The following is a 13,636-nucleotide window of genomic DNA, read 5'->3' on the forward strand; positions in this document are numbered from 1 at the left end:
ACGCACCTCCTCGCGGTGCGCCATGCCCGGGCGTGCGACCAGCGTCTCGCCGGGGCAGCGGCCCAGCTGCCGGTAGTAGTCCCCCGTGCTGGGCTGCTTGCTGAAAGCGCGGGGCTTGCGGCTGGAGTCCTGCCTCCGTAGCCCGTCGTGGCCGTCGCAGGAGCTCGGCTGCGGGAAGACAGTGACCGGTGGGGCTCGGGCAAGTGCCCGGTAGGCGCCCCCCACGCCTCCCCACCCAGCTCTTCACCTCCTGGGAACTCGCGGCCAGCGGCCGTCGGGGGGTGCAGCAGCCGACTTCCTAGACCCCCTGTTCTCACGGTGGGCAGCGGGCGAGGTTCATGGGGGCCTCGGTGGAAGGGCAGGCTCCGCCCGCCTTACAGGGAGGGGTTCTGGGCACCGGCCAAGGGGCACAGGGTCCCCCACTGAGGCCAGAAGGGGCGGGCCCAGGGGCGGGCCGGCCCAGCCCCGACGCCAGGGGGAGCTAGAGAAGGGGCACCTCCCAGCTTAGCCTTCACTAGGCCCTCGGCCGCACTCCGCTCTCGGCTGTCAGAAGGACTGCGGGTCCCCAGGGCTCCGCGGAGCCCTGTCTTTCGGGGGTCCCGGGCCGGAGGGAGCCCCCTCCAGAGCCTGTGCTCTCCGAGGCTCCGGCTTGCCCCGGACCCCGCTTGTCCGTCTAGGGGCTGCTCCAACCTGCCACGGTGCTGGTGGTCCTGCTGTGCACCTGGCGGCGGGGGCGGCAGGACCCGACACCTGCTTTACGTGATACTTCCTCTCAGGTTACAGACGCCCGCGCACGGCCAGCCTATGGGCTCCGACGGCCTGACATCACCCGGGGCCCGCCAATCCCAGGCCGAACCCCCCCCAGCCGTCGCGGATGCCACGGGGGCGCCAACTACTCTGCCACACCTGGCCGCGGCTCTGCACCCGCCCCGGGCCAGATGTGACCCCGCCCCCTGCGCCTCTCCCTAAGCTGGGAGCTGAGCCCCCACCTTCATCCCCGCCCGAGAGGAGAGAGGGCTGACCGTGGGCAGAGGGGGCCTCTCATATTTGGCTGCCGGCTCCGGGTCGCGTCCCCACCGTTTCCCTCCTGCATCTGGAAACCATCGCCATCCACGAAAGCGACACCGACACCCGCGCTCAAGCCTCGGATTTCAGGGGCCGTAAGGCGGGGTCGGGTGACAGCGCGGCTTCCCGCCCCGTCGCAGCTGCCCCCAACTAGGCCCAGCTCAGTGAGGGAGAGTGAGGCGGCCGGGCCAAAGACTGAGTGACCGGGTGGGGGCTGTCCCCTGCCCCACTCTCCAGCCCATGCGTCCCTGCGGTGGCCTCAGACCCTTCACCCCGCCCGACCTGGCTCACGTTGCAGGAAACGCGACACCGCAGGATTCGTTTTCTGGGCCAGCCCGCCGGCTCCGCGCCCCCTGCAGCCCGGAGGCTCCGACGCCACGACCCTGCTCCCACCTGCGGTCAGGCACCCGCGCGGGAGGCGCCGCGGCGACACAAAGAGCCCTTTGTAGAGCTTCCCGGCCCGGGCCCTGGCGTCTGCGGCCCAGCACGCACACAGCCGGGAGGGACGCACACAGCCGGGAGGGGGCTCGCACAGCCAGGAGGTGACCTCACAGACCTGGCACTTGGGCTCAGCGGTGGAGAGGGGGCACTGGCTGGGCCACCTGTCCTGTGGATTTGGGCGGGGCCCACAGTCTGCGCCGGGAGCTCAACGATTCCAGGGCCCCTGCAGCCCTACCCGCCCGGCCCCCTCTGCCTCCCAGAGATGAAAGGGGAAAGCCACTGTGGGAGCTTGGTCTAAGGTGGCGTGAAGAGGGCAGCTACTGGAGCTGGCCTGCAGGTTTGGTGTCCCTCCCATGCCTCCCTTGCCCACTGGCCTTGTGACCTGAGTCACCTTGTATGAATTGGCCCTGGGGTGGCTTTGCCTTGGGCTTAAGAGAGAACTGCAAGGTCCCAGGCTCCAGCAGGACCCCAGGGAGCTGCCACACCACATCTGGCCACCTGTGACCTCAGGCTGTCCCCTCACCTCTTAGACCATCCTTGCTCTGTTCCTGTGGCCAGAACGCCAGTGTTCCCCAGGGCACCCTGCCGAGGATACCCGCAATTGCTCAGACCAGACCTCTGCCCCAATCCCTGCTCCAGAGCCTCAGCCAGGCGCCTGCAGGCCCCAGACATCCCTAGGCACCTCACACTTCACCTACCCACCCTGCCCTCATCCTCTCCACACAGGCTCGCTTCCCTCCAGGGCTCCCAGCTCAGGCCTGGCCCTTTCCCCCAGGAGCTCAAGCCCTAAACTGGAACCAGCCACAGCTTCACTTCCTCCCAGCCCCTACTGCCGGTGGGCGCCCAGCCCTGCTAGTGCCTGCTCACCTTCCTCCCTCCCTCCTTCCAGCCCTTACCTCTACAGCCATGCCACTGGCACCTTCCACCTGGCAGCCACCTCCCTTGGGTGACACTCTCCGACTGAGCCTGGGGCTGTGGGGGTGGGGGGGCATGCTTGGGGAGGGGCAGTCTCCATGCATTCTCTGTCAACTCCATGACAACCCGGCCACTCCTGTGCAAGAGGTGGCACAGGCCCAGTTCCTGGTGAGGAACAGCTGTCTGGACCTGCGTCCTTCACCCCCCAGCTCCCATGGAGGGCAGTGACCTGCTCTTACTCTCCTCCCAGTCCAGTGTCCAGCCCTGACCCCTCGTGGGACTCGCCAGGAGCTTTGACTCTTGAATATGCCATGGACCCAGGGACCCCCACCCTGTGCCCACTAGTGAGGCCAGGCCTTTGGCCTGACTGGCCCCCATCAGCCCAGTACCCCTGCTGGGAGGCAGGCAGTGGGTGAGGGCTCACTACCTCCTTCTTGAGGGCCTCTGTCTCCACGTGGCGGAGTTTGTTCTTGGTCTGCATGTAGATGTCAGCTGCCTGTGGTCCCACAGGAGGCTTGGGAGATGGGTAGCTAGGTGGGGGTGGGGGCAGTTGGGTGCCTGGGGGCGGGGGTGGCGGGGGGAAGCTGGGTGGGGGTGGTGGGGGTATGGGCTTCCCAATCGTGCCCCAAGGCAGGCCCAGCTCTGGGTTCAGCATGTCCATGTAGCTCTGTATGTCTGCAGCTCTAGTGCTGGAAAGCCCTGGGGAGGCAGAAGGAAGGGCCAGATTTGGAAGCATGCAGACAGCCTTTCCCCCAAGAATGAGACTCTCCACCACCTGGAAACAACTTGCCGAGGGCCAAGGTGGGCTCCGGGCACCACTTGGTACACCTGTTGTGGCCCCTGGCGTTGCTGGGCTTCCTCTCCCTGGCCCTGCCCTGCCCCAGCCCAGCACTTATTGGGGGAAGACCAGGCACTCCGGTTTGGAGGGGAAGCACTGGAGGCTTTGGTGTGTCTAGAGGGCAGGGTCACCTGGAAGGGGAGGGTCTACTCCTTGGGAGTACAGATGGCCACATCCAATCTTTGCAGGGCACCCTGCCAGGTCTGGAGGCCACCATCTGGTGGCGTGAAGCAGGCATTGCAAGTGGATGGACGCCCATGCTCAGGGCACGGTCAGGGTGTGTGTACACACAAGCCTGCAGTCTGCCGAGGCGATTGTGAATTTGTGTATGTTTGAGTGTGTACGCATTTGTGCACATGCTTCTTTGTATTGATGAATGTGTGTGCATTGCTCTGTGGACATGGTGTGTGTGTGTGTGCATATCTGTAGTATGGAAATAGAGCATTGTGTGCTTGTGTGTAAGGTGGGTGTGTGCAGATATTAGCATGGCTCTGTATGTGTGTTCATATCTGTATGCTGTGTGTACACATGTACAAGTGTGTGCTTTTGTGTGTGAGTAGCTAAGAATAATGAATGGTGGGTGGCACACGTGGATTTTGTGGGTGGGGAGAGTACATGTGGATGTACATGTATGTCTGTGATGAGCACACACAAGTATGAGTGACATCTGTCTCTCACCAGAAAGGGTGTCGCCTCCCCATGTTTAAAAGCAAGTGATAAGAGTAGTCTCCGATATTGGCTGTGGCAGGCTGGCCCAAGGCCAACCCTCACAGCCCAGCAGTCTGGCTTCAGTCTGCTCTCCCTCCCCCTCTTCCTCCTGGGCACACTCACCACGTGGAGGGTGCTGGCCCTTGATGCTGGAGTGGCTGGAGGAGCAGGAGTCGTAGTTGGAGAGGGTGCTGGTGGGCGAGCTGAGGTCAAAGTTCAGAGGCTGGACCGACACCGTGGTGTTGGGTGAGGACATGCCTGAATCCGGCTGCTTCGCCTCCAGCTCCACGGATGGATCCCGGGAGAGCACGCAGTGCTCCATGCTCTGAAGGGGAGGCAGGGAGGCCATGAAGGCAACTGCACCCCAAGATGCGTTGCTCTCCAGGCCAGGGTCCTACTCAGCCATGCCTTTGCCGTGGGATCTTGGCCAAGCCACACCCCTCTCTGGGGTCTCTTCCCCATCGCTAGAGGGTCTTTCAGGTTCCTCCGGGTTAAGATTCAAGCCCAGCCCCGCCAGGCAGAGGACCCAGGTTCCTGGGAAACTCCCTCCCCTGGCTCCTCCCTGATTAGGAGGGTGGAGAGATCGACGAGGAGGGGGCCTTGAGCTGCACCCCAGGGGGAGAACTGCCAGGAGATCGGCCTTCTCCCTCACAGATCGGCACAGGCTCCATGGGGAAGGGCACAGCACAGGCCCATCCCTAGTGACCTGGCTGGCAAGCCAGCTCTCCTTGCCAGACCTGGGACCTGGAGCAGACTCCCAACACCAGCCCGGCCTGTCTCCTGATGGGGCCCTTGGGGTAAGGGTAGGGCCTGGATGGCCAGCTGAGCAGTGATGGGCAGCCAGAGCTCAGGCTGCCAGGCCTGCCATTCCCCCGCCCTGCCCGGTCTGTGCGTCTGACCACAGGCCTGTCCCCTCCCGGTGCAGAGGGGGCTGTGGTAGGGGCCCTGCTTACATTGCCCATGCTGCCCCTGCTGCCGGCAAGCCCGCTTGCTCCGCTGCCTCCTGCCCAGGCCTGCTCCTCCTTGCCCCGTGCCCCCTCCCTACCTAAGAAGTGTCACAGGCACCCTGGGAGAGAGAGGCAGGCCTGGCACCAGGTAACGGCTCAGCGGCCGCGCTCATTGGCCCCGTAATTAGGGGCTCTGCTGGAGTGTTTGCCTTTTCTGGGCCAGCGTCTTCTGTGGCTTGGGTCTGTCCCTGCCTCAGCTGGGCCTGCTTGAGTGAGGGGACCAGGGCACACACACCCCACCCATTCCAGGGGACCAGGCCCTGTTACCTACCGCAGGAGTCAGGGGAGCCATAGGAGGTGGCATGGGCAGCACCCAAAGGTGCTCTTTACCTGGGCAACAGCAGTGGGTGCTGAGGGCACCAAGCCCTGACCCCTGTAGGCAGCAGATAAGAGGCTGGGCCACAGCAGGTGTACTGCGCCTGGCCTGAGCCACCCAGCTCTGCAGTCTGGGACTGTGGCTTCAAACTTTCCCTCCCCGACTTACTAGCTATTTCAGGCGAGTCACCTGTGCTTTTTGTGCCTATGTTTCTTTATCTGCAAATGGGGGTAACAGCACTACTTGCTCTGCTGAGCTCCAGGACATGGCGCCCAGTAAATGCCATACTGTCAAATTTTTTTTTTTTTTTTTTTAGACGGAGTTTTGTTCTTGTTGCCCAGGCTGGAGTACAGTGGCGCGGTCTTGGCTCAGTGCAACCTCCACCTCCTGAGTTCAAGCAATTCTCCTGCCTCAGCCTCCCAAGTAGTTGGAATTAAAGGCACCCGCCACCACACCCAGCTAATTTTTGTATATTTAGTAGAGATGGGGTTTCATCATGTTGACCAGGCTGGTCTCGAACCCTGACTTCAGGTGATCCACCCGCCTCAGCTTCTCAAAGTGCAGGCATGAGCCACCACACCCGGCCTGTCAACTTTTTTATTTTATTTTATTTTATTTTTAGACGGAGTCTTGCTCTGTCACCAGGCTGGAGTGCAGTGGCGCGGTCTTGGCTTACTGCAACCTCCGCCTCCTGGGTTCAAGCGATTCTCCTGCCTCAGCCTCCCGAGTAGCTGGGACTACAGGCGTGTGCTACCACACCTGACTAATTTTTTTTTTTTTTTGTAGTTTTAGTAGATACGGGGTTTCACCATGTTGGCCAGGATGGTCTTGATCTACTGACCTCGTGATCTGCCCGCCTCGGCCTCCCAAAGTGCTGGGATTACAGGCATGAGCCACCGCGCCTGGCCTGAGCCACTGCACCCAGCCAACTATTTTTTTAATGTACTGTGAAGAGTAACTGAGATTACACCTTTAAGGCACTCGGCAGGGTACCTGCCTAAGTCAGAATCCAATGAATAGTGTTTGCTGTCCTATGACCACTAGCAGCTGCATCCAGACAGGCCCTCAGGTGCCCTGGGCTCTGGTGCCACCCCCCATGGTCCCTCGACAGAGTCACAGGCTCTCTTAACTGATGGGGACCCACCACTGATGCAGAAATGTCCTTCCCTGTGTCCATCCCGGCTTATATACCCTAGTGACAGAGTGCTGACTACCTGCTGGGCCATTCATTCTCTTCCAGAGACTCTTTCTCGGGGGGAAGTTCACCCTCAGGCCCACCTGCAGCCTCTGGCCTCTGGGCCTTGCTGTGTTCTGCAGCCCCCAGAGCCAGGACCATCCCCCTGTGCTGGCAGGGACGACAGATGGACAGACGGTGCTCAGGGCACAGACCATCTGCCTTCTTCCCTCCGGGCCTCATTTCACAGCCACTCCATGGCCAGGCTGCCCCATGGAGTTGGTCCGCATCCTTTTGGGGTTGGCTGTGAGGCCCACTCTCTTCCCTGCCTATTGCCTCAAAGCAGGCATTGTACCAGATGGTGCAGAGCCCTCACTTGGAGACATCCACAGCTGAGTTCAAGTCCCAGTAGGTCACTTCGTGGCTGTCTCACCATAAAAACATAATTTAAAAAGAGTAGCATGGGTTTCCAGTTATGACCCAGCCATGAAGTCAGCTAATATATGGTGCAGGGGCAGAGAGGTGGCTCCTGGTCAGGCCATCAAGGTAGGTTCTCCACTCTACCACTTACTGGTGATGCGATCCTGGTGCCCCGCAGACTCCCTTTACCCATATGTGGAACGGGACACTTACACTCTCTTCTGCAGAGGGTGGCTGTGAGTTATACCCAAGCTAATGTCTATGGGTAGGTGAATGAGCCTGCCTGTTCCCAATGGGGCCTGTCTTGTGATTTCTCCAGCCTTACCCCTTGGGGTGACCCTGTTCTTCCCTGTCCTCTTTCCGTTAACCTTTGTGCCTCTACTCCCTCAGTCCCCAGCAGGCAGTGGTTCTGGGCTGACAGGTCGTGTGGGGTAGCGGGCTTCACGTCTCTGAACCTCAGCTTCCTCCTTGGTAAAAGGGGTGACGACACCCACCACTGGGGTGGAGGGGCGAGAAGAGAGAATGCAACAGGAGCAGCGCAGGGATCGTACCAGGTTCTCCACCGTGCGCAGGCAGTGGGTGCAGTGGCTGTGGCCGTTGAAGTCCGACAGGTCAGCGGCCGCGTACCCGTCGCGGTCGCGGACTTCCAGCTCCGCGCCGTTCACTACCAGGATCTGGCAGCACTGTGGGGGCACGCAGTGAGGACCCGGCCGCGGCCACGAGCTGGGACCCCCGCGCCCGGGCAGGGCCGTGCGGAGAGCGCGGTGCCAGCAGAGGGCGCGCGCCCCCACCCCGGGCCCGCGCTGACCTCTAGCTCCCCGTTCTCGGCGGCGTCGTACAGCGCGGTCCCGCCCCACAGGTCAGCCGAGATCTCCCCGCCGTGCAGCAGCAGCCAGCTGAGCACCTTGCTGTGGCCGCGGCTCGCCGCGAAGTGCGTGGCGGTGGCGCCGTCTTTGTCCTGCTCCGACAGGCTCACGTCGGTGCAGCTCACCTGGGCGGGAGGGGCGGGGAGAGAGGGCCGGGGGATGGGGGCCAGGCCCCTGCAGGCCCCGCCCACGGTCCTCCGCCCCACTCCTGATGGCCCCGCTCCCTCCACTCCCCGCCCTGCCGGCTCCGCCCCGTCTCCCCTCCGCACCGCCCGGGCCCGGAGCTCACCAACCACACGATGACCGGGCTGTGGCCCATCTGCGCCGCGGCGTGCAGTGGGGTCATGCCGTCGTGGGCGCGCGCGTGCGGGTCCGCGCCGCATTCCTGCACCAGGTACTGCGTCACCTCCAGGTGGCCCTCCTGGCACGCCAGGTACAGGGGCGTGGCACCGTTCTTGGTTTGGGCATTCACTCCCCTGCGGAGACACAGCGCCCACCGTGGGCTTTCAGCGCCTCACCCCCTCCGAGGCCTCCTTACCCGCCCCCCTCCCCTCCCGGGGAGCCCTGGACGGCAGGGAGAGTGGGCGGGAGAGGGCCCTGTCACCGGCCCGCTGCCGCCCGGGGGGCTCCGCCTGGACTGAGTCCTGAGCCACCCTCCCTCAGAGGCCCCTGAGGGCGTCCCACCCAGCACTGCCCTGCCCTCAGTCCCACTTTTTTTTTTTTTTTTTTTTTTTTGAGAAGAAGTCTAGCTCTGTCGCCCAGGCTGGAGTGCAGTGGCTGGATCTTGGCTCACTGCAATCTCTGCCTCCCGGGTTCAAGCGATTCTTCTGCTTCAGCCTCCTGAGTAGCTGGGATTACAGGCATGCGCCACCACGCCCCGCTAATCTTTTGTATTTTTAGTAGAGACGGGGTTTCACCATGTTGACCAGGCTGGTCTCGAACTTCTGACCTTGTGATCCGCCCGCCTCGGCCTCCCAAAGTGCTGGGATTACAGAGCCACCGCGCCCAGCCTCAGTCCCACTTTTTAACCGAGGTCTACAAAGATGTGGTGAGCTGGCCTTTCCTCCCCTCTCGCCCACTGTCACCATGAGTCCCCACAACTGCTGTGTCTGACCTCTATCCCTTTCATCGTGTGCCCCCTCCATCTGGAATGTCCTTCCATCCTCCTCCCTCTTGAAGACTCAGTACCCATCCCTCCTCCATGAGGGCCACCCTGATTTATTTCCCCCTTGCTGGCCTCCGCCCCACACTGCCCAGGGCCACTATGAGCATGACCTGTCATGCTTGGTTGACCATAACTGATTTTGACCTTTGCCTCCCCCAGAAGACTGAGTTCCCAGCGGGCAGGGTGGTAAGGGTTGCCAGACAAAATGCAGTTCACACAGTTCAACCGGAATTTCGGATGAACGGATAATGCTTTAGTATTCTATATCCCAAATATTGCATGGGACATACTTATACTAAAATACAACTTTTTTATCTGAGATTCAAAGCTAGTCAAACATCCCGGGTTTTGTTGTTGCTGTTTTTGTTAATCTGGCAGCCCTCGGGATGTCCACTATGTACTGAATGCTTCTGCTGTGCTAGCTCTGGGCTACGGCACTGGCAAGCAGGTTCTTCTTTTTTTATTTTTATTTTTGAGACGGAGTCTTTCTCTGTCATCCAGGCTGGAATGCAATGGCGCAATCTCAGCTCACTGCACCCTCTGCCTCCTGGGTTCAAGCCATTCTCCTGCCTGAGCCTCCCAAACAGCTGGGACTACAGGCATGTGCCACCACGCCTGGCTAATTTTCGTATTTTTAGCAGAAACCCAGTTTTGCCATCTTGGCCAGGCTGGTCTCAAACTCCTGAGCTCAAGTGATCCGCCTGTCTCGGCCTCCCAAAGTGCTGGGATTACAGGTGTGAGCCACTGCGCCCGGCCATCAACTATTACTGTGACCATCAACTGAGATTACACCGGTAAGGCACCTAGCAGGGGACCTGCCAGAATCAGAATTCAGTCAATGGTGCAGCTACAGCTGGGGAGGCTCACAGGTGGGGCTGGGACTCTGTGCCATCACCCATAGTCCCACAACAGAGGCACAGACTCAGCTCTCTCCTCGGTCACACAGTTGGTAAGTGGCACTTGAACACCCATCTGTCTGTGCATGCAGGGCCTGGCTGGCAATATGGGCATGCAGGGAGTGAAGAGATGGAATGTGTCTCAGGGGCTCCTCCTAGGGCCTAGTTTTCGGCTGTCACTGTCCCTTATCCTTGCTCTGCCAGCCCAGAGGGGGCCTACCTAGGGAACAGCAGGGCTGTCCTGGCTGCTGGGCTGTTGGGTGTGAACAGCCCAGGGTGCAGTTGCCACCAAAGGACACTAGGTGGAGCCACAACCTACCCCCAGACCCAGGAGAAGTTCCAGGTTGGGGGCCACGACCTATTGGGTTCCAGTTCACCTTTTGTGCCTAGGAGGCCAATTCCTCACAGGACTTGACATCCTGCCCATCTACCTCCCCCAGTCTTTCACCCCGTAGATCAACCACATGCTCCACCCTGCATTCATCCCTCGTTCACCCATCCAACTGCCCATCCACTTGTTGCCTGCCCATCAACGTGCACCAGGCTACCCCCCTTTGCCCACCCACCCTCTTGTTCCCAACACGACTCAGCCCCTCTTCTGACCCCTGTCACGTGTGCCCTCTCCCTCCCTCTCACACACATCCTGAGCCCCTCCCAGCTGGCATCTCCCTGTCCCTAAAGCCCTGGTTCTCTGTCCACTTCCCTGACTCCTGAGACCCCAAGGCTGACTCTGACTGAGACCCCTGACTCTGCAGCCCCCATGGACCCCCACTCACTGATTTCTCCTCCCTCCCCACTCCCTAGACACAGGGCTGCCATTTGCTGGGGCTGATGCTGAGCCGGGCACTTCATGATGGTGCGGGGAGCAGGCACCATGCCTGGTGATCCAGAGGGGGTCCCGTCAACACAGATGAGGGAGACAGAAGACCCAGCTACGTATCTATCTTCAGAAACATGCTGGCTCGTGGCTGCCAGCCTCCACACCCCAGCGCCAGCGTCACCCCCACACACACTCACATACTGCTGCATCAGAACAGGCTGTTGAATATTTCATGACCGACGCTCAGCGGCCTAAATTATTCACCCCGTAACCAAGGCACAGTGAGTGCCGGGGTCTTTGGGATCAGGGGCTGGTGGGGGCCCACTGGGTTCTTTCTGCAGAGGCCCACGGCGGTGTACACAGCGGGTGGGGGGCCAGACCTGCAGTGAGCTCTGCTCTCTCAGCACTCCCTACTTGGCAGAGATCCATGACCCAGGGGTGCCCAGCCAGCCAGAGAAGGTCTGAGAAGCTGGCATCAAGCAGGATCTGAGCAGCAGGGGGAAGTGGTACCCACGGCCTCCTGCAGGGCCGCTGGCTGGCACTCCCAGCCCAAGTTCCTGGCACGGAATGAGCCCTCAGTAAGTGCTGGAGCTCATCACCATTCTCATTAGTATTCCACCATCTGCACTCATGCGCCCCATTATGGAGTCAGAGCCTCCAGCTTGGAATACCCCAGAACATGAGGCAGATATGCTGTTGGGCTGGGTGGGAAGGGGTCCTGGCTCAACATCCCCTTCCACCTTGGCCTGAGGACAAGAAGAACAATGGGCACTCTCACAGTCACTGGGGAGTATTACAAAGATATGGATGAGCATAAGGACCAAAATGAAATTCCCATCACACACCTGGAATCCAAGCACCTCGGGAGGCCAAAGCAGGAGGACTGCCTGAGCCTAGGAGTTCGAGACCAGCCTGGGCAACATAGAGAGACCTCCGTCTCTACAAACAATACAAAAATGAGCCAGGTGTGTTGGTGCACACCTGTAGTCCCAGCCACTCAGGAGGCTGAGGAGGGAGGATCACTTGAGTCCAAGAAGTTGAGGCTGCAGGGAACTATGATCATACCGCTGCACTCCAGCCTGGGTGTCAGAGCAAGAGCCTATCTCTAAAATAAATAAATAAATGAGAAAATAAACAAAATTCCCATCACTAGAGAGAGGAATTAATAAAAGTAATAATAGTAAATAATAATAATAGTGATAGCAGCCACCATTTACTGAATGATTACTCTGTCTCAAGCACTGTGATGAGTACAACACACACGTTCTCTCAGCTGGTCTTTGTAACAACCCCACAGGACAGGTGTTAGCATTGTTCTTCTGGTACAGATGAGGAAACTGAGGCACAGAGAGCTAAGATCACTCTGTGAGAAAGAGGCAGAGCCCCGATTTGAGGCTGTGTCTGATGCAGAGCCTGCTTCTGACTCCAAATGTGCCACGTCTACACCCCTTCTGCTCTTGGTCGGTCTGTCCCTCTGCCTCCCTCCCTCCCTCCCACTGCACAGACCACTGCCCTTCCCCACAGACCTCACTGCTGGGAACTCAGGAACACTCTTTGACAGCTGCTGGGGCACAGCCCCGCAGGAGGACCTGGCTCGAGTCCCGTGCCTTTGAGCTGTGCCACAGTCTTGCTTCTTGTCTCTTTGTGTTCCCAAACCCATCCATGAAATGGGGGCAACAGTTGTCATCCTGACCTCGTGCAGAGTGCCTGAGAAGTGCCTGCAGAGCCCTGAGCACAGGCCTGGTGCCTGGCGCACAGCCATTGCTGAACTTTAGGATCCTTCCCTGTGCCTGGGAGGACCAGCCACCAGGGGGGTCTATGGCTGGCCTGGCCTGTCCGGGTCCTGCCAAGTACGGGCCAGGCTGGGCATCATTTCTGCTGTGGGGAACACTACCTAGAGGGGAGAGGATGGGTCTTGGGGGAGACCTCTGACTCCCAGACCCTTGCCAGCTCTAGCCCTGACCACAGTGACAGCTGCAGAAAAGTGCTCCCAGACCAAGCCCTTGCCCTTTGCCCCGGCTTTGACCCAAACCCTCTTTGTAGGTCAGAGGCGCCCTGGCGATGATCGTATAAATCATGATTTGTTTTCTTTCTCCTGGGAACAAAGATGCTATGGATGAACTGTAACTATTCATCAAGTCACCTCTGATTACACAAAAGAAACATGGGTCCCCCGTGTGGGCTGTGGGAATCTCTGGCGGAGACTGGTGCCAGCTGACTGCCAGCACCGCCGCAGGGAGTGAGCTGCCCATGGAGCCAGAGTCGGGCTGCAGAATGATTCCCGCAGCCCGCCCCACTGCCAGTCACGCCTCCCCAGAGGGAGGCCAGGAAGAGGCTGTCCCTCCGAGGATCAGTCTGGTTGTGGCCCGTGACTGCTTTCAATTGAAATTCACGGAGCCTTTGGTGGATCTACGGCTCTCGGTGTCCTCCAGTCAAACTTCCCGGCCTATGTTAAAAGATTCCCAAGTAGGCCTGGCCCAGGGAAGAAATGCAGCCCCGATTTGAGAAAGGTTCTACACCCCAGCCCATCAGCTAGCATGGAATAGTTCCAGAAGCCTACAGTTGCCTGCAACTCTCCCAGCCTCCCAGGTCTTCCTCCTGGCCCGTAATTAGGCCAAATTTGACCCCCCCTGAGGCCTCTACACCTCCCCACATCACTGCCAGTTCCACCATGGCAGGGCTGCGAGGCCGACCCTCTTTTCATTAGGTTCTCAGCTCTCCTCCCCTCAAAGATGCCTGGCTTCCCTGACCCCTCAACTTAAAGAACCATCCCCATCGCTTCCTACCAAACTCCTCATTTCACTATATAGCACTTGCCACTCCTGAATTATCTTGTTCTCCTATTCCTCAGACCCATACATGCGTGGATAGAAGAATGTGTGGCTGACGTGATGACAGGCCGGGCAGTTGAGTGCACCCACTTGCTGTTTGTTGAATGAATAAATATGAGAAGGGACATCCAGGCCAGGAGTAGGGGATGTCTCTTCACTCATGGCCGCAGCCTG

At 59.8% G+C, this 13,636-nt stretch overlaps 1 long non-coding RNA gene and 1 pseudogene across 4 annotated transcripts in view, besides 3 other annotated features; one reads left to right on the forward strand and one right to left on the reverse strand.

The window, feature by feature from the left end:
* The window catches only part of ESPNP (espin pseudogene), a 28,940-nt pseudogene that overhangs the window by 8,635 nt on the left and 6,669 nt on the right, over positions 1-13,636 (reverse strand). Inside the window, exons 2-7 of the transcript NR_026567.1 lie at positions 8,040-8,226; positions 7,693-7,875; positions 7,436-7,567; positions 4,091-4,292; positions 2,849-3,120; positions 7-168 (exon numbers count right to left, since the gene is read on the reverse strand). The product of NR_026567.1 is annotated as an espin pseudogene (transcript). The remainder of the gene's footprint in view (positions 1-6; positions 169-2,848; positions 3,121-4,090; positions 4,293-7,435; positions 7,568-7,692; positions 7,876-8,039; positions 8,227-13,636) is intronic.
* LOC124903858 (uncharacterized) lies at positions 145-5,603 on the forward strand. 3 transcript variants are annotated; one of them, XR_007065500.1, is made up of 3 exons: positions 145-210; positions 777-1,843; positions 3,103-5,603. It is a non-coding gene; the product is annotated as an uncharacterized LOC124903858 (long non-coding RNA). The 3 variants fall into 3 exon arrangements; XR_007065501.1 differs by lacking the exon at positions 145-210 and adding an exon at positions 258-318; XR_007065499.1 differs by lacking the exon at positions 145-210 and having other exon boundaries at positions 1,756-1,843; positions 3,103-3,222; positions 3,448-5,603.
* Positions 1,146-1,831: an enhancer, noted in NCBI's record as "H3K4me1 hESC enhancer chr1:17027493-17028178 (GRCh37/hg19 assembly coordinates)". NCBI's record gives its function as "activates a minimal SCP1, AML or CMV promoter by ChIP-STARR-seq in primed H9 embryonic stem cells {active_cell/tissue: H9 hESC(primed)}" and the evidence as "EXISTENCE:reporter gene assay evidence [ECO:0000049][PMID:30033119]".
* Positions 7,741-8,280: an enhancer, noted in NCBI's record as "H3K27ac-H3K4me1 hESC enhancer chr1:17034088-17034627 (GRCh37/hg19 assembly coordinates)". NCBI's record gives its function as "activates a minimal SCP1, AML or CMV promoter by ChIP-STARR-seq in naive H9 embryonic stem cells {active_cell/tissue: H9 hESC(naive)}" and the evidence as "EXISTENCE:reporter gene assay evidence [ECO:0000049][PMID:30033119]".
* Positions 8,281-8,819: an enhancer, noted in NCBI's record as "H3K27ac-H3K4me1 hESC enhancer chr1:17034628-17035166 (GRCh37/hg19 assembly coordinates)". NCBI's record gives its function as "activates a minimal SCP1, AML or CMV promoter by ChIP-STARR-seq in primed H9 embryonic stem cells {active_cell/tissue: H9 hESC(primed)}" and the evidence as "EXISTENCE:reporter gene assay evidence [ECO:0000049][PMID:30033119]".

This window comes from Homo sapiens, chromosome 1 (assembly GCF_000001405.40).
Source record: "Homo sapiens chromosome 1, GRCh38.p14 Primary Assembly".
In the NCBI taxonomy this organism is placed as follows: Eukaryota; Metazoa; Chordata; class Mammalia; order Primates; family Hominidae; genus Homo; species Homo sapiens.